At 49.0% G+C, this 18,829-nt stretch overlaps 1 protein-coding gene across 5 annotated transcripts in view, besides 1 other annotated feature; it reads right to left on the bottom strand.

Annotated features, from left to right (window-relative positions):
• Nucleotides 1-589: 589 nt before the first annotated feature.
• SLC7A8 (solute carrier family 7 member 8) overlaps nt 590-18,829 on the bottom strand; it is a 58,366-nt gene continuing 40,126 nt past the window's right edge. For 3 of the 5 annotated variants that reach the window (NM_012244.4, NM_001267036.1, NM_182728.3), the window contains 8 exons: nt 18,374-18,499; nt 15,766-15,919; nt 14,719-14,842; nt 13,216-13,319; nt 6,756-6,852; nt 4,945-5,094; nt 3,314-3,491; nt 590-2,638 (listed from right to left, as the gene is read on the bottom strand). In NM_012244.4, the coding sequence (NP_036376.2) occupies nt 2,472-2,638; nt 3,314-3,491; nt 4,945-5,094; nt 6,756-6,852; nt 13,216-13,319; nt 14,719-14,842; nt 15,766-15,919; nt 18,374-18,499 (1,100 nt within the window). In that variant the 3' untranslated portion in view covers nt 590-2,471. Of the gene's footprint in view, nt 2,639-3,313; nt 3,660-4,944; nt 5,095-6,755; nt 6,853-13,215; nt 13,320-14,718; nt 14,843-15,765; nt 15,920-18,373; nt 18,500-18,829 lie in introns of all 5 variants that reach the window. The other 2 variants (NM_001267037.2, NR_049767.2) reach the window with 2 other exon arrangements.
• Nucleotides 12,895-13,189: a silencer, noted in NCBI's record as "tiled region #2117; K562 Repressive non-DNase unmatched - State 14:Gen5'". NCBI's record gives its function as "represses a minimal TATA promoter and a strong SV40 promoter by Sharpr-MPRA in K562 cells {active_cell/tissue: K562}" and the evidence as "EXISTENCE:reporter gene assay evidence [ECO:0000049][PMID:27701403]".

Below are 18,829 nucleotides of genomic sequence, written 5' to 3' on the forward strand. Positions count from 1 at the left end.
CCTCGACCTCCCAGGCTCAACCCATCCTCCTTTCGGCCTCGGCCTCCCAAGGAGCTGGGACCACAGGCACATACCACCATGCCCAGCTAATTTTATCTTTTGTAGAGACGAGGTCTTGCTATGTTGCCCAGGCTGGTCTCAAACTCCTGGGCTCAAGAGATCCTCCCTCCTCGGCCTCCCGAAGTGCTGGGATTACGGGAGTGAGCCGCTGTGCCCGGCCAAGAAAAGCAACTTCGAAAAGTGACTAACCAGCTTTCTTCAGCCCTCCCTGTCTGTAAAGCCAACCTCTTCTGCTCAACTCATTGGAATATGTATTCTATTTTATGGAATGAAGTGTTGCCTGATTCCAGAATTACAGTAAACAATTGAGATCTGTAAATTCGTTGTACTTTTGTCTTTTGATGTTTTTGGTTCAGAATGAGAGTCAGTGGTTTGAATGCACTGGCATTGAGTCCCTAGGATAGCTAGAAGTTACAGAGAGCGAGAGCTTTTAGGAATGTCATTCTGGAAGGAACCTGGCAAGATCTCCTAAGAGGAAATGCCTGGTGACTCTGTCTCAAAAGGTTACTTAATTACCAACACCACCAACTTCATTTCCATTTTAAATTTTATTACATCAAAAGAAAAAAACCTCTCCACAAAACAAATCTCTAAAACCTACACCAAACGAAAGAAATTATCATTAAGGTTCTAACTCCATCCCCCAAAACAACCTTACATTAAAAAAAATCCAAAAGAAATAGAAATACCAGCTTCAAAAATATTTATCCAAAAAGTAAGGCATCAACTTTACAAAAAAATAATTGAAGGAGGGGAGGAAGTTGGAGGAATGAGAAAAGAGGGAATAAGAAGATGGTCCCCTGACCCTCCAGGGGCCAACCCCAGCCTGCCGGGCATCTACTCTGAAGGGGTCACAACTCAGACCAAACTTGGCATCTCACCAACTATGGGGTGGGCAAGCTGGGCGGGGAAGCTGGGAGACACCATCCAGGCCAGGAAGGGCTCCTGTGTATTCCAGTTTAAGCAGACAGAATTCGGGGTGGGGGAGAGAATCCCGATTTGTGATAAAAGGATCCTAAGTCCTTAGTGCAGCAGGAGTGGCTGGGAAGGTTGCAGGGCCCACAGCAAACTCCATAGCCTTCCTTTGAAGCCCAGGGAAAGGTCAGAGGCTGCCAGCCACAGAGGAGGGCCTTTTTTGAGGATCTCCAGAGTGGGCGCCCTGCTGCCACTACCCTTTCACCCTGCCCCAAGACAGCATGACACTGAGACCTGCGAGGAGTGGGGGATTATTGGAGTTGGGGATGGATGGGAAAGGAACTGGGCTTCAGCCAATGCTCTCCTCAGTCTCCCAGGGTATGGAATGGGCACCTCTAGGGAGGGGGAAAGCACCCTTCCTCCCAGGGAAGGCATTTAATATCAGATCCGTCCTGAGGGTTAGAAATAGGGGAGTATTTTTAGGCCAAGTTCTTGGATGGGAGGTGACTTAAGGCTGATCTGGCTCTGATCTCAGGCCTGAAGGGCTTGGGGATCCTTCGTACCTGGTCCCAAGCCAAGGCCCAGAGAGGAGAAGTGCACGGTGGGGGCGGTGGTGCTGGCTGTGTGCGGGTGTGCTGGGAGTGGCTGCAGGGATAGCAGGGGACTGCTCCTTCCTGCGGCGGGCAGGTGGAGTTGCTGAGCAGCTTCGTCATTAGGAGAGAGATGCCCACTACCTTAAAAATCAGAAGCTTTTTGGCTTCTGGAAGCTTTGGCACCATGTTGGGGGCTGGATGCAGGAGGCAGGGGCAGGGCTGGGTTTCTGCAATCTGAACCTTTCTCAATATGTTCCTCAACCGCCTGGCTTGGGGGTGGAGAGGCTGTTCTTCTCCTTGGTCCTTAGCTCTGGGAGTTGGCGTCCTGAGGAGAACCGAATTCTGGACAGGGAGCCCTGGCTGGGGTGGGTGCAGGTATGATGGGGAGGGGCAGGAAAGAGGGCAGAGGGAAGCATCCCCTTGGATTTTGGGTCCCTGGTGAACAGATAGGGTCTTGGGTCTCTCCAGCTGACCCCTTGATGGGGACAGAATTGCTTGAGCCTGTCCCCCCACAATGCAGCTCCTGTGGCCTCTCCTCTCTGAAGGGGCCTCCCTGGGAGGGAAGGCAGTAATGAGCTCCGGTTCCTGAAGAGGCAGCTGAGGGTGTGGCCCGGAGGGAGGTCCTGCAGGGCACCTTGGCATCTCCCCTCTCCTCCAGCAGCTGGGAGTGTGGGCAGCACTGGAGTGGGGCCTGGGACATGGACCCTGGGGTGAGAGGCTGGTTCTTTGGGTATGAATGTCAGTTTTTGTTTACAATTTCTCACCACCCACACCAAAGTCCTACCACTGCCTGACAAAAGCAGAGAGAGGGGTGTGTGTGTACTCGCATGTGTTGGCAGGACCAAGGCAGGGAGGTAGGATAAAAGGGGGAGGAAGGAGAGAGTAGCCAGGGAATGGTGGTCCTCAGGGCTGGGGCTGCCCCGCCACGTCCTTGTCCTTCGTGGGAGTGGGTTGGTACATGGGCTGCTGCTGCTCCTCCATGTCCTCATTAGCCTCCTCTGTCCCTGAGCCCCGCTCCACCTCGGGGTACACGACCACACACATCTTCTGGCTCACCAGGGTTAGCAGCTCTGTAGGAAGAGATCACACAGAAACCAGGCCAATGCTGAGTATCCCACCAACCTGGCCAAGTGGCCCCGGCCCTTCCTGGCTCTCCTGCTCCAGGTTCTGCCTCTTCAGAGCAGTCAGTGCGTTGAAGAGAATCCTCGCCACCTGGTCTGCCTCCTGCATCTCCCGCCGGCTACTCTTTGCTTATGAAGGCCCCAGCCTTCCCACCTTCCCTGTGCCCACTGACCCCTAAGTCCAGGGTCTCCTCTGGTCTCCACCCAGCCTCGGGCAGCTCTCACAGAATGGCTGACAGGTTGCCTATTTTATTTTAAAATTTTTAATAACAGAGATGGAGTCTTGCTATGTCGACCAGGCTGGTCTCAACCTCCTGGGCTCAAGTGATCCTCTGTCTCAGCCTCCCAAAGTGCTGGGATTACAGGCGTGAGCCACTGTGCCCAGCCCAGGTTGCCTATTCTTGCGGGTCTAAGGTCTGTGTGGAAATGCCAGCTGTTCTCTACCCTCAGAGGTCTCTGGGAAAAGGCATCTGCTTCCCCTGCTCTGGACTCTTCCAGGGCTCTGTGGACTGAGGAGAAGGTGAGCCTAGATCTCCTGGCCCTGGTGGCTCCCCAACCCCATCACTGACCACTGCATTCCAGCCCAGGAGGCCCTGAAGCCAGCCAGAGCCTCCAACAACTCACCAATGAAGTCACTGAAACACTTGGGCTTGTGTTGCCAGTAAACACCCAGGAAATAGACAGGCACTCCTGTCAGCATGATGGCCAGGCCAATGCCACACACCACCGGCTCTGACCACAGGCTGAAGACCAGCAGGAAGGCCCAGAACAGCAAGTAGATGATGGGGAACAGCAGGTTGATCTGTGGAGCAGAGGCATGAGGCGTATGAACTGTGTAGGCCACGTGGCCCCCAGGACTAGGGACTGGGGCATTCTCTCTCTTCTTCACCCACAGAGACACATCCTCAAGGGCAAAGGCTGGGCTTCCCTCGGCTCTGTGGTCCCACACTCACCCCTGGTAGGGCAGGGGCTATATAAACAAATGTTGATGAACATGGTCGGTCAGACAGGAAGAGGATGGGGAGGAGTTAGGGAGGAAACGATCCTCCTTGCCCATGTCCTCGCTCTTGGGTGTGGTTAGACAAGGCCTCATCATGCATGCCATGTGCCCGTGGCAGCCAGAGAAGCCCACAGGGATGGAGAAGCTTGCTGGCACATGGGTGTGTCTGCTGAGGTCCTAGGGTGGAGGGGAGGTGTGGCAATGCACAAGGTGCAGGCAGGAGACGATTCGAGTCACTCAGGCTCCCTGGTCCTTGCCCACTTCTGTGCAGGGCCCTTATGTGGGCACAATATGGCAAATGTCAGCTCCTTATGGGCCACATGTGGGGAGTTCCTGAGAGTATCCTCTTCAGGGCTCCAGGGGCAGTCCTGATTCGGCTGCCTTTCTCTTCCTTGTCTTCCTCGCTCAGAAGGGATGTGTGTGGTGGGGACATGGGGTTATTCTACCTCCTCTTCCCTCTAGCAGATTTTCTAAGTGTGAGAGTAGAAAATGGCGGTGGAAATGCCAGTGAGGAACTGAGAGATTTGGAGAGCCTTTGATTTTTCAGCTGGAAGGATCTTCTAGAAGCATCTAGTCACTGTTTCTAGAATAGGATTGTTCAAATAGCTCTGGAGTACACTCTATTCTTCTAATTCGTAGGAGAACTCATAATGCTCTAGCATGTCCTGTTCTGAGCAATCCCTTTAATTCCTATCACAGAGTTATATCTTGTAGCAATATTAGGTTCACTGAGCACCCTATATGTGTAGGACTGTGGGAGTTTATAAAGGGAGGATCATGGGAGGTTGCAGTAGACTGGAAGACTTCAAGAAAGAGGAGGTACTTGAGGCGCATTTGGAAAATGGTTAAAATGTAGATGGGCAGATGGGAGGAGGAAGTCATTCTGGGATGGAGACATAGCACATAGTGAACCCAGCTATCTGGAGGGACAAGGAGGAAGTGTTGGGGAGATAAGAGAACCTTGAAAAGTCAGCTGGAGTTTAAGGCTTAGACTGGTAGGAAACAAAGGAATGTCATGATGAAAGTCACATTTGATCTGACTTATTCCCCAGCTGCAGTCTGCTCCGATCTCATCCCCAGTGGAGAATGGAAATAGTGGTCCCATTCACAAATGGCCCTTGCTTTCCAAAGGGTCTGCTACCATCAGAGATGATGACGTGTGGTCAGCAGCTAAGAACAGAGGTGATTTAAAAATCTGAACTGCAGCTAGAACCATAGAGGAAGGGGAGGGGACCCCAAAGGGAGTTTCTCTCACCTTGATGGGGCGGGGGATATCAGGCTTCTTCCAGCGAAGGACTATCTGTCCAGCAACCGTGACCCCATAGAAGAGGTAGTTGATGAAGCCCACATAGTTGATGAGTGTGTACATGTCGCTGGTGACCAGCATCAGCAGGGTGGAGATGCACTGGGAAAGTGGGAGGAGCTCATCAGTGATCCGAAAGATATTCAGAGACTGGTATTACAGATTAGGGGCTGTCCCCCAGCCTCCAGGCAGATGATGCCATCGTATAATGGATGTCTCGAAATGGAGACTTTAGAACCTCCCCTAGTAACCCAATATGTTACAACATCTTTATTGCTAGGAAATCCTTTCTTATTACAGGGGTGATGATCAAAATATTTAACCACTCGTATGGCACGGGCACTAGCCAATTAGAATGGATACTGGACATAAGCAGCTAGACTGGCCACACTGGTATTACCTGGCTCTGTGTCAGCCCCGGTCTCATTTGTATGCCTCTGTTGGTTATAGCTCAAGCTAAATTCATTTTTTTAAAATCCCTTAGGGAAGATTGTTAACAACAGATTAAGGCTGTATTCCTGCCCTCATCCTTTTCTCCTGGCTGAGTCATCTATTTTTCTTCCTTCCTTTTCTTTATTAATTTCAAAACTGGTTACATAGCACTTACTGTGTGCCAGGTCTCTATGTTTAGCATTTGACAAAGATTAACTCACTTAACCCTCATAACATCCCTATGAGGTTTTCTTGACAGAGTCTACTTTCCAACTTCAAAATCATCTCTGTGGCTCTCTTGGAACCATGCTCCTCCCCTCTGATAACTTGTGAAGGTCAACAAAAGGTTCTGTTCTCTTGTGAGATCCGATGGTTAAAATAATCGAGAAGATTTTAATGGTTCTTGCTACATCTGCCTTTTAGTCACACTACTGCACCAATAGCTCTAACTGGAAAAAACAAAACAAAACAAAACAAAAAAATGTGTGTGGCCCACTGGGAGTACTGTCTTCTCCAGCCACCTTCGACAACCAACCAGTCAAGGTGACCTTCATCCTGCATCTGAACATTCTGAAATTGTACAGCAATGCTGTAAAATGCTCTTGGCTCCCAAGAGCTCTGTTATTCTGATTGCTAACTGCTTCACCAGTGGACCAAAGTCATTTTTAGTGTTTTATTCAGGATCCAGAAGGAAAATAAAAATAACTCAAAAGACTCAATGGGGACAAGTCTTTGTTCCTTCCTATAGCTCTCTCAAAATGATTCTACTCTGGGGATATTTTACTCCCATCTCTTTCCTGTCCCAAGTTTCCTTTGCACAGTTTCCAGTTTATCAGTCTTCCTCTATTATTTTTCGTATTTGGTGTACTGTTAACACTAACTTCATTTCAATGATGTTTCCCAAGAGACTGGCAGGCTGCCCTGAAGCTTGATGGGGGAAGTGGGTGTTTGCAGGGACCAACCAGCCAGGAGCAGAGGCCAGTGCTGCAACCCTGTGGTAACAGGTGCGAGGAGAGCCAAGGGAGATATATTTTTTTTGAGGCTGTAGAATCCTGAGACAGTCAGTTCAGTCTGACCCAAAAGGATGGGAGAACGGAAATAAGTCAGCCTGAGAGCCTTAGGTATTTCAAGACTCAGGATCTTTCCTTGCTATATCTCTTGATATTAACAAAGATGATGGGTATCATTTGCCAGATCCTCTAAGATCCAGTGAGACCTAGCAGCAGACTGCAAGGGTAACAGGGGTGTGTGTGAAAAGCATGAACTCCCAGCTTAGACTAGGCACAAAGAGAGGGAGGTGTGTGGAGAGTTACAGCAGGAAGGGCCCTTACTGTGAAGAGCAGGGCTGGGATTGGGGTGCAGCGCTTCACGTGGATCATGGCCAACACACTGGGAAGGTGGCCCTCTCGGGCTCCAGCGAAGAACAGCCTGTCAGGGAGAAAAGCAGGTCAGCCTGGGATAACCCAGGGACCACCAAGCCCCAGCTCCTTCATCCTTGCCTACCTTCTGCCCACACAGGGGCATCCCCACTCCAACCAGGCACCCGCCTTCACATGCATACTTTCCACCCCACCAGTCACAGAACCTGTGTTCACAAATGCAGGTGCAAGCAAACCAGAGGCAGCCAGTGGAAAAGTGGATGAACCCTGGGTATGTTAGACCCTGAATGTGGTATGGGTGGCTCAGGGTTACTGATAATTGTACTGTCACTCAGTGGGGTGTTCCCAATGCCTGGAAGGCTGCAGGAGCAGCCTCTGTCTGTTGCCTAAAATCTTCATCTCTTTAAAAGCATTCCTCACATCCTCAAAGGATGCAGATTCCCTAATACACTGGGACTGAACTGCATATGGAAAGCTTTAAAAACACTCTATTTTTTTTTTTTTTTTTTTTTTTGAGATGGAGTCTGACTCTGTCGCCCAGGCTGGAGTGCAGTGCTGCAATCTCGGCTCACTGCAACCTCCGCCTCCCAGGTTTAAGCAATTCTCTGCCTCAGCCTCCCGAGAAGGTGGGATTACAGGTGTGTGCCACCATGCCCAGCTAATTTTTGTATTTTCAGTAGAGACGGGGTTTCACCATCTTGGCCAGGCTGGTCTTGAACTGCTGACCTCGTGATCCACTTGCCTCGGCCTCCCAAAGTGCTGGGACTACAGGCGTGAGCCACCGCGCCTGGCCTAAAAACACTCTTGTCCTAGTCAGAGAGTAGTTAGTTGTCTTTGTGGGAGTAGGGAATTGGTGGTGGAAATGTTCTCTATCTTGTTTTGGGTAGTGGTTGAATTTTGACAACTGTCAAAATTCATCAAATGGAAGCCAGGCACAGTGGCACACACCTATATTTCTAGCTACTTGGGAGGCTGAAGCAGGAAGATTGCTTGAGCCCAGAAGTTCAAAGCCAGCCTAGGCAACATAGTGAGACTCTGCCTCTAAAAAACAACAATAAAAAACAAAAATGAACAAACACAAACAAAAAAACCCCCACAAAACTCATCAAAATGAACATTTATGATCTGCTTTTTTTTTTTTTTTGAGACGGAGTTTCACTCTTGTTGCCCAGGCTGGAGTGCAATAGCACGATCTTGGTTCACCGCAACCTCCGCCTCCCAGGTTCAAGCGATTCTTCTGCCTCAGCCTCCCGAGTAGCTGGGATTACAGGCATGCGCCACCACACCCAGCTAATTTTTGTATTTTTGGTGGAGACGGGGTTTCTCCATGTTGGTCAGGCTGGTCTCGAACTCCCGACCTCAGGTGATCTGCCCGCCTCGGCCTCCCAAAGTACTGGGATTACAGGCATGAGCCACTATGCCCAGCCTATGATCTGCTTTTTAAAAAAAAAATTGAGGCAGGGTCTTGCCATGTTGCCCAGGCTGGTCTCGAACTGGGCTCTAATGATCCTCCCACCTCGGGCTCCCAAAGCGTTGGGATGACAGGCATGAGCCACCACGCCCAGCCTGCATATTTTATTGTATGTAAATTGTACTTAAAAATTTATATCCTGTCTTGTGGGATTGAGTTTAAAAAAATTATATCCTGTCTGGGCACGGTGGGTAACACCTGCAATCCCAGCACTTTGGCAGGCTGAGGCGGGAGAATCATTTGAGCCCGGAAGTTTGAGGCCAGTCTGGGCAAAATAGTGGACCCTTGTCTCTACAAAAAATAAAAATAAAATTAGCCAGGTGTGGTGGCATGTGCCTGTTGTTCTAATTACTCGGGAGGCTGAGGTGACAGGATCACATGAGCCTGGGAGGCTGAGGCTGCAGTGAGCTGTGATTGTGCCATTGCACTCCACCCTAGGCAACAGAGCAAGAACCTGTCTCAAAAAAAAAAAAAAAAAAAAAGAGAAAGAAAAAATTGGAAATATCGTAAGTGCCTAAAAGTAAGAGGTCGATAAAATGAATTTGGCATAAGATGAAATGTTATGGGCTAGGCACAGTGGCTCATGCCTGTAATCCCAGCTCTTTGGGAGGCTGAGGTGGGTGAATCACCTGAGGTCAGGAGTTTGAGACCAGCCTGGCCAACATGGGGAAACCTCGTCTCTACTAAAAATACAAAAATTAGCCAGATGTGGTGGCACGTGCCTATAATCCCAGCTACTTGGAAGGTTGAGGCAGAATTGCCTGAACCCGGAAGGTGGAGGTTGCAGTGAGCAGAGATCATGCCCTTGCACTCCAACCTGGATGACAGAGTGAAACTCTGTCTCAAAGAAAAAAAAAAGGGAACATTATGTAGTCATAATGTTTTTGAAAAAATTTGATTACATGAGAATATGCTCAAAATATAACATCAAATGAAAAAACAGGACTGAAAACTATAATGCAAATAATTTTTTTTTTTTGAGACATGGTCTTGCTCTGTTGCCCAGGCTGGAGTGCAGTAGCACGATGATGGCTCACTGTAGCCTTGACCTCCCAAACTCAAATGATCCTCCTGTCTCAGTCTTCCAAGTAGCTGGGACTACAGGTGTGCACCACCACACCCAAATGCCAATTAATTTTAAGATTATTTATGGGCCTATTTATTAAAATGCTAACTGATTGTCTCTGGGTGGTGAAATTATGGTTAATTTTAATTTTCTTCCTTATACATTAGAGAAAAAATTTTAAAAATCGCAAAATGCAGCCTGGGCAACATGGTGAAACCCTGTCTCTACAAAAAATACAAAAATTAGCCAGGCGTGGTAGAGCGTGCCTGTAGTTCCAGCTACTGAGGGGGCTGAGGTGGGAGGATCACTTGAGCCTGGGAGGTTGAGGCTGCAGTGAGCTGTATTTGCACCACTGCACTCCAGCCTGGGTGACAAAGTGAGACCCTGTCTCCAAAAAAAAAAAAAAAAAAAAAAAGAAAAGATAAGGAAAAGGAAAAAATGAATAAAATTCTAAAATAGATGGAATATTTATAATCAGAATAAAGATTTTTTAACTTAAAAAATTAAACTTTTTATTTTTCCAATTTTTAGAGATGGGGTCTTGCTCTGTCACCCAGGCTGGAGTAGAGTGGCGTGATTATAGCTCACTGCAGCCTCCAATTCCTGGGCTCCAGTGATCCTCTAGTCTCAGCCTCCTGAGCAGCTGGGACTACATGTACATATCACCGTGCTCAGTTAACTTAAAAAATGAAACTTTTTATTTTGAGATAATTGTAGATTTGCATTCAGTGAATCTTACAACCAAGTACAGTTGTAAGAAATAATAAGGAGAGATCCTATGTATCTTTTGCCCAGTTTCCTCCATTGGTAACATGCTACACAATTATATTATAATATCACAACTAGGATATTGATGTTTAAATCAATTTTATTTTTTACTTATTTTTCTTTGCTAATTTTTTGTAGTGACAAGGTCTTGCCTTGTTGCCCAGGCTGGTCTGGAACTACTGGGCTCAAGCAATCCTTCCACCTTGCCTTCCCAAAGCACCGGGATTACAGGCGTGAGCCACCACGCCCAGCCCTAAAAGTTATTATTTTTTTAATATTTTTTATTTTTATTGAGACAGAGTCTTGCTCTGTTGCCCAGGCTGGAGTGCAGTGTCACGATCTCGGCTCACTGCAACCTCCGCCTCCTGGGTTCAAGTGATTCTTCTGCCTCAGCCTCCTGGGTAGCTGGGAGTACAGGCACCTGCCACCACGCTCAGCTAATTTTTGTATTTTTTTTAGTAGAGGTGGGGTTTCATTATATTGGCTAGGCTGGTCTCAAACTCCTGACCTTGTGATCCGCCCGCCTCAGCCTCCCAAAGTGCTGGGGATTATAGGTGTGAGCCACTGCGCCTGGACATAAAAGTTATTTTTAAAAAGAAAAGTTTTAGGCCAGGTGCGGTGGCTCACGCCTGTAATTCCAGCACTTTGGGAGGCTGAGGCGGGCGGATCACGAGGTCAGGAGATCAAGACCGTCCTGGCTAACATGGTGAAACCCCGTCTCTACTAAAAATACAACAAATTAGCCAGGCGTGGTGGCAGGCGCCTGTAGTCCCAGCTACTCGGGAAGCTGAGGCAGGAGAATGGCGTGAACCCGGGAGGCAGAGTGTGCAGTGAGCCAAGATTGCGCCACTGCACTCCAGCCTGGGCGACAGAGCGAGACTCTGCCTTAAAAAAAAAAGAAAAATTTTAAGAGAATAATTTGAATGTTCCTAGCATAAAGAAAAGACAATATTGAAGGAGATGGGATATCTCAATTACTCTGATTTGATTTTTACACATTATATCAATGTATTGAAACATCATCTGTAGCTTGAAAATATGTACATCTATTATATACATATGAATATGAAACTTGAACATAAAAATCAGCCCTCCTTCCCTTTTACTCTCCTAAGAGAAAAGTGAATATTAGAAGCTGTCAACAGTAATTTACATGTCAGTGCAAATTGGACCACTTTTTTCTTTTTTCTGGGGAAAGGCCCACCTAAGGGATGACAGGCAGGGTACAGCTTGATAGGAACAAAAAGGCACATATTCAGCACACTGGGAGTTCAGAGGAGAATAGTCATTTACTTTGTAATTTGTGTATGGAGTAGACTGAAGCGAACAGCAGCAGCTAATCAGAAGTGTGGGAGCTGACTGTATCCCCAAGTACCCATAAGCAGTAACCATCATGAACTCCCTAGGCCGGTGTCACTAGTTTCATGCAGCCATACACATCCCTGTCCCCTCTCCCATGCTACTGCCCCTCTACAGGGCAGTCTCATGCACCAGGTGCTCTGTGGGGCTCATCGTGCACATAGCCAGGGTCCTGCACTCACGTCCCCCCTCCACATGCAGACAAGACCAAGTGTAATTGTCCAGATCCAACAGCATTTGCAAGTGTCAGGTTCACAAGAGACAGTCCTTGCCCAGCTAGCCGATAACGGAGGAGACGATGACATTAAGCATAACACACATCCACACACTCTGACTCTTCAGGAAGGATCATCCTCTCCCTACCCGAGAACACAAAGGAGTGACAGAGAGATAAAGAAGGAGGGAAGGAGAAGGAAGGAAGAAGGAACTGGAAAGATGAGCAGGGGAGGCCTGGGTGGGTGAGGTCTGGCCTCTGAATCGGAGGTGGAGCACACCATGCGCCACCGTTTCCTGCATGCACACACGACTAGACCACATGCACGCAGACCGCTGCTAGGCCTGCCTGAGGGACAAACCCCACTCTAAAGTGACTGTAGCCAGTCACTCTCCTCCAATAGATCTCAGGGAGCCTCACGGGTCACTGTTCCTCCACCGCTTGGCCTCGGCGGGGCCTCCGTGTGGCCACTGCTCCTGTGTAACATGCACACGAGGTTGCTGTGGGTGAGCGTCACAGGGTCCCGGGGTACAGGGGACACCCACACCACCTCTTTCCAGCCCTGGGTCCTAAAAACATTGCACTCCCTTGTTATTTCACAGGAACTCTTCCTGATGTGACGGCTTTGGAAGCAGCTGAACTCACGGACTCATCTTTGGAGCAGGACTGTACTTTCTGAGGGCAGGGGGTGCTTTCTAAGAACCTGGGAGGATCCCTTGAACCACACAAATGGAAGTCATTCAACATCTGCTAGCCTCAACAGCCCCTTCTGAAGACAGCAAAAGAAAGGGCCGGGTCCCTGGATGCATGGAGGCAGGACCTGGGACTCGTGGACCCGCTCGCACTTCTGGCTTCTGAGAGTGCTCTGGGGTGGGGGTCACGGATAAAAGGCTCTTTCTTTGGACAAATGTTTGCTTTCCACTTTTCCCCACCCTCTCACTTCACATTCTCCACCTGAGTCTCATGGGTGGCCTCAAAAAGGCCTCTACAGCCACCTCTCTGTTGAGCAGGGAGGAGCTCTGCATTCTTGGGGCAATCAGGGTGAAGCCATCCCACCTGCAGGCTAGTTCCAGAACATTCATGGGAGGCCAGACCCAGAGGCCCCAGGCACAAGTCTCCCTCTTGGTCCCTTTCCAAATGGGGTTCTTTTCTAGCCAGCAGCAGCCTGTTTACAGGTACAGGACTGCAGCCAAGATACTGCCTTGCTGCCAACCACAGCCACTGACTGGGGGCGGCGTCAGGCAGGCTGGCGGCCTCCTCTGTCTTCTGCTCCTTTTGAAATGAGACAGGCCACTACATGTGAAGCACCTAGGACCCGTATGCCACACACATCGCAGGTGACCACGTGAGCAGCACACACTCCTCAGCATCCACACTGACACACACGCCCTCATGTGAGCAGTCACCCCTCTGCAAGCCCAACATCCAGATGCCCACACAGACCCCTGCTGACAGAGACAAGCCCACCATATACAAATAGCAAAGTGCACAGCAGAGTGGCCCCTGGCCGGGGAAGGGCCCAGGCAGCACTCACCGAGAGGAGGTGAAGAGAGACCCATTAACTCCTCCAAATGTGGACAGGGCAACAGAAATGGGCATGATCCAGGCCATGACTCCTAGGAGCTTCTCTCCAAAAGTCTGGGAGAGGAACCAAGGAGATAAGCAAAGGAGAGGTCACCACTCCCCGACCCCTCAGCTCCCACTTCACTCTGGGAAACCGTTTCTCCTATCTCCACCCTTGCTAATTCTCTCTCGCCAAGCTTCTTAATTGCCCCCACCCTCTCAAGGGTGGACCCCTACACAGGGTGGTTAATGCATGTTTTAGGCTAATTAACTGAAGGAGGTAGTACACACTGGTAATAATAATAATGAACTAACACTTACTAATCTTGTTTTATGGGTGAGGAACTGAGTCACATAGTGATTAAGTAGCTTGCCTAAGATTACACACCCAGCGAGTGGAGGGGCCAGCATTGGAAGCCAGGTGGTGTGATCCAGGCCTTACATACATTATATGATTTCTCCAGCACAGGGAAGGGCACAGGCTTGTCAGGCAGATCTGTCAGGCAGATCCAGGCTCAAATCCTTGCCCTCCAGCTAGGAGCTGTGAGACCTTGAGCAAAGTTTATGATTTTTGAGCCTCTGTCTCCAACTGCAAAATAGGGATTAATCCAGAATCACAGGGTGAGAATTTCTCAATTCATCAAAACAGATGAGTTGGGGGTAAAATAATAGGAATGAGCCCCTCCTTAGTCTGAGAAAGAAAAGGCTGTGAAGCTATAGATGAATCTTCATGTATTTAAGGACTATACAATGCAGGAGACCAGCCTTTTCTATATTCCCTGAGCCAGGTTTACAGCACATTACCAAGGAGAGATTGTTCAGAATAGAAGGCTGTTGGTCATAAGAACAGGCTGCCCCAGGAGATGGGAGGACCTCTTTCTTTACAGTCTTTTGAGATAAGGCCAGTGAAGAGACTGGCAGGCTGGGTGGTGGCCCAGCCTGATGCCAGGTGAGGGAGCAAGGTGCCTCCCAGGTCCTTCTTAGATGTGAAGGATCCCAACCCCTTGCACCAGCATGGTCTCTTTCCCCAAAGAGCACACCTGACTTCTGCTTCTGGAGGAGAAGGCAGAGAGAAAAGGCATGTCTTGTGCAAGATTATGTCTTTCTGAGGAGGGGCCTGTCTGCTTCATACCACTCTCACATTTAGAGCTTTAAGTGCCCGAGACTAGGAGTTGGCAAACTTTTTCTGTAAAGGGCCAGATAGTAAATGTCTTATAGCTTCTCAGGCCACGCGGTCTCTGTGGCAATGACTCGGTTCTGCCATTGTAGCTGTTCTAGGTACAACCCAGCCACCTGTTTGCTCCTGGGCACTTAAAGATACCCCAGCCAATGACATATGTGGTTTCTGCCCTGAGAACTTGGGGGTGATTTCCACTTCCACAAGGCCATGGATCAGGGAAAAGTGAGTGGGGCTACAGCAGGCAAGTCTATGTCTGCATTCCTGGTATGAGACTCTGGGACTTTCATTTCTTACCACAGCGACGGCGTTGGATGCCAGCAGCTCCTGGGGGGACATTGCAGTGACATAAGCGACATTGGCAAAGACATACACAAATGTGACCAGTGGGATGGAGATGAAGATGGCTCTGGGAAGGTTCCTGTAGAGGGAGAGGAGGTGAGGGGAAGGGCTGGCACCCGGGACACCCGCCTTGCCATGGAGTCCAGGGGGTGTCTTCTGTCTTTCTGCATGCGTGTAGCCTTACAGCCTTCTGTGAGGCTTCCTTTCCCTGGGAGGTGGGCTTTGTCTCAATATGGGCAGGATAATTTAAAGGAAATGAGGCTGAGCGTGGTGGTTCACACCTATTATCCCAGCCCTTTGTGAGGCCAAGGAGGGAGGATTGTTTGAGCCCAGGAGTTCGAGGCCAGCCCTGGCAACATAGCAAGGCCTCTTCTTTACAAATTAAAAAATTAACTGGGCATGGTGGCATGTGCCTGTAGTCCCAGATACTTAGGAGGCTGAGGTGGGAGGATTGCTTGAGCCCAGAAGACTGAGGCTGCAGTGAGCTATGACTGCACTGCTGGACTCCAGCCTGGGTGACAGGGTGAGACCCTGTCTAAAAACAAAACAAAACAAAAGAAAAAATAAGTTAAAAAAATGAAGGCAATAAAACAACTCAGGTTGGAAATACGCTCCACACCTGTTGATCTTGACCTGAATCTCCACAATGCACCTTTTCCCCCTGCCTCAAGACACCAAGACCGGCCTGTCCTGAAACAAGCAAGATTCCCAGAAGCCTCTCAGGGCACAATTCATTCTCTAAGGCAGTAGTGTTACTGCAGGACAGTTTTCAGCTTCTAATCTGCTCTGGGAAAGTCACTGGATCCTTTCCTCCTCCTGGTGGGGTGAACGGCAAATGGTTTAAGTGCCTGGGAAATGAACTACGACTTCAGGATAGATCAAATCACAGTTAGAATGGGGCTTTGGAAGGCGAGGTGGGCAATGGACACCTGCTCCCTCTTTCCAGCAGCAGGTGCTGTGGCCCTTCAAGGGAGAGGGAATAGCCAGGCTCTTTCAACTCACTTGTAGGGATCAACAAGCTCCTCAGTCACGTAATTCAGAAAGTTCCAGCCTCCATAGGCAAAGGAGCCCTGAAGGAAAGCCAGTGCGACGAGGCCGATGTCAGGTTCCTGGAAATTCTCAAATGCATTCTTTGGCTCCAGCCAGAAGTACTCTCCTGTGGACACAAGCAACAGGAGGCCGCTCAGTGAGACAAGTCAGGGGCCCAGCAGCCCCTGGCCTGCCCTGGCCCACCTCTCACCCCTCCCTGTGGCAATGACACCAACTCTGTCTTGTCTCCAGTGAACCCAACATATTGGATAAATTGGGATAAAGGGAGCAGGGAATTTCAGGTCCAGGGCTTCCGAGACCCCGGAAACTACGAGTCCAAATGAGGGTTTAAGTGCCGTTCTGAATGCTCCTTTTGTAAAAGGCAAAGTTATTTAAAAGGAAAGGACATGGTAAATTGGGCTTTGGAAATACAGGATTGGAGTCATTGGTAATCTCCTGACCACTTTCTCTAAGTTTCTACATTTTCATGAAGAAGCATCCAGGGTTGGGCACAGTGGCTCAGGCCTGTAATCCAAACAATCTGGGAGGTCAAGGCAGAAGGAATGCTTGAGGCCAGAAGTTTGAGACCAGCCTGGGCAACATAGTGAGACTCCCATCTCCACCACTAATTTAAAAAGTTAGCTGGGTGTGGTGGTGCATGCCTATAGGCTCACCTATTTGAGAGGCTAAGGTGGGAGGATCACTTGAGCCCAGGAGTTTGAGGCTGCAGTGAGCTATGATTGTGCCACTGCACTCCAGGGTGGATGACAGAGCAAGACCCTGTCTCCAAAAAAGAAAAAAGAAAAAAACAAACAAACAAAAAAAGCAAGCATCCAGAACAACAAACACTCAAACATAAGTTTCCATAATGCTATATTAGTTCAAGCTTGTTTTGCTGCTTGCTTTGTTGATATCCTCCTATCTCTTTCTGAGGTGTGTGTTTGGTCTCTCTTTTCTTTTTTGTTTTTTTGAGACGGAGTCTCGCTCTGTCGCCCAGGCTGGAGTGCAGTGGCGCGATCTCAGCTCACTGCAACCTCCGCCTCCCAGGTTTAAGTGATTCTCCTGCTTTGGCCTCCTGAGTAGCTGGAGTTACAGGCATATGCCACCATGCCTGGCTAATTTTTTTTTGTATTTTTAGTAGATACAGGGTTTCATCATGTTGGCCAGGTTGGTCTCGAATTCCTGACCTCAAGTGATCTGCCTGCATTGGCCTCCCAAAGTGCTGGGATTACAGGCGTAAGCCACCATGCCTGGCCGTCTCTCTTTTCAAGATTCCCCAAGGACAGGAATTTTTAAGCAAAGAGCTGTTTAAACTGCCTTCCCAGCCCCCCTAGCACAGTGTGCTGCAGACTGTGGGCCCTTGGAATCATCTGCTGACTGGCTAAAATTTCAATGAGATAGAGAGTAACTGATCATATGTTACTTATTCATCTGCAGTTTAGCATTGGGACAGGAAATAAGGAGATTAGTGTGACCAGGAGAAAGAATTGAGGCCAGCTTAGGAGGGACTCACTATTTTTGACAAGATAGCGCAGTGATTTCCTTAAGTCTAAATGCCTGAAAGCAATATATAACCTGTTAAAGAACTTAATCCAACTGTTTAAAATAATCAGGCATATTATATAGCAGAAACTTAATTATGTTTCCTGGAGTAGAAGTCCGGGCTGCCCACACTGCCTTCAGGGCTTGTGGGAAATTTCCCTGTTTGTCACCTGACTTTCTCCGTGAGGCAGTGACGCTGGGCAGAGCCTCATGGTGCCATGGGTCCCATGGAAACCAAATATAGCCTCAGGCTTGGAAAGGGCCAAATCCAGTGGGGAATGTTGGCAGGGGCCCCGGGAATGCAGAGCTCTCTCTCTCAGAGATTATAAGTAATTTTGAAACATAAAATACCTTTCTCTGTCCTCCACTTTAAGATGTGGACAAGATTCAACAGAAGATGCAGGGAGCTTCCCTGGGGTTGGGGCAAAAAGACAATAGGAATCTAGAGATCTGGGGTTTTTGTTTGTTTATTTGTTTTTGAGACAAGGTCTTGCTCAGTCGCCCAGGCTGGAGTGCAGTGGCACAATCATAGCTCACTACAGCCTCAAACTCCTGGGCTCAGGTGATCCTCCCACCTTAGCCTCCAGAGTAAGTGAGACCACAGCCATGCACCACCATGCCCCATTAATTTTTAAATTTTTTTGTAGAGATGGGATCTCGCTGTGCTGTTCAGGCTAGTCTCAAACTCCTGGGCTCAAGTGATCCTCCTGCCTCATCCTTCCTAAGTGCTGGGATTACAGGTGTGAGCCACCACACTCGGCCGATATGTGGGGTCTTTACCTAGCTGTGCTACAGCCTTGAGGTAAGCATGGGAGAGGTGACCTTTGCAGCCTAAAGGGAGCATTCCCTACTCCCAGCCACCTCGGGGAAAATGGTTTCTCCTTCCCTTTTGTCAAGCAAGGGAAGAAGAAGAGAAGTCACTCAAGGCTAGAATTGGGGAAATCTCAGGGTGTGGCATACTTCCAAAGCTGGGCTGAGAGGGTGTGTACATGCAAGGGGAGGAAAGCTGGGCAGTACCTGTTTTTCCTGCGATACTCACCTTTGCATATCTGTACAATCCCCATGATGATAATCAGGGCCAAGGCCAGGAGCTTCCCAGCTGTGAAGATGTCTTGAACCCGGGTGGCCCACCGCACACTGGAACAGTTGACCCATGTGAGGAGCACTGAAATGAAAGACCCCCAAACAGACCTTCAGGGGCTGTATCTGGCTGCATGATGCCCAAGGCACACAAGCAGAACTGCTCCCTCATCCTGACGATGACATTGTAGTAGGTGAGCCAGACATCCAGCAAGCTCAACCCCAGGGACCAGAGACTTTGGCTAGGTTAATGGGTTGCAAATGGGGATTATATGTCCCAAATTAGAGCTTGGGCCCAGCATGCCCTGCTGAGGGCTGGAAGCCAGAAGTAGGCATGGAAGTGTAGGCACTGGCTTTGGGGGTAAAATCACATCTGATCAGGGCACAAGTATGGGCTTTGTCTTCAAGTTATTAT

Source organism: Homo sapiens, chromosome 14 (genome assembly GCF_000001405.40).
Source record: "Homo sapiens chromosome 14, GRCh38.p14 Primary Assembly".
Taxonomy (NCBI): Eukaryota; Metazoa; Chordata; class Mammalia; order Primates; family Hominidae; genus Homo; species Homo sapiens.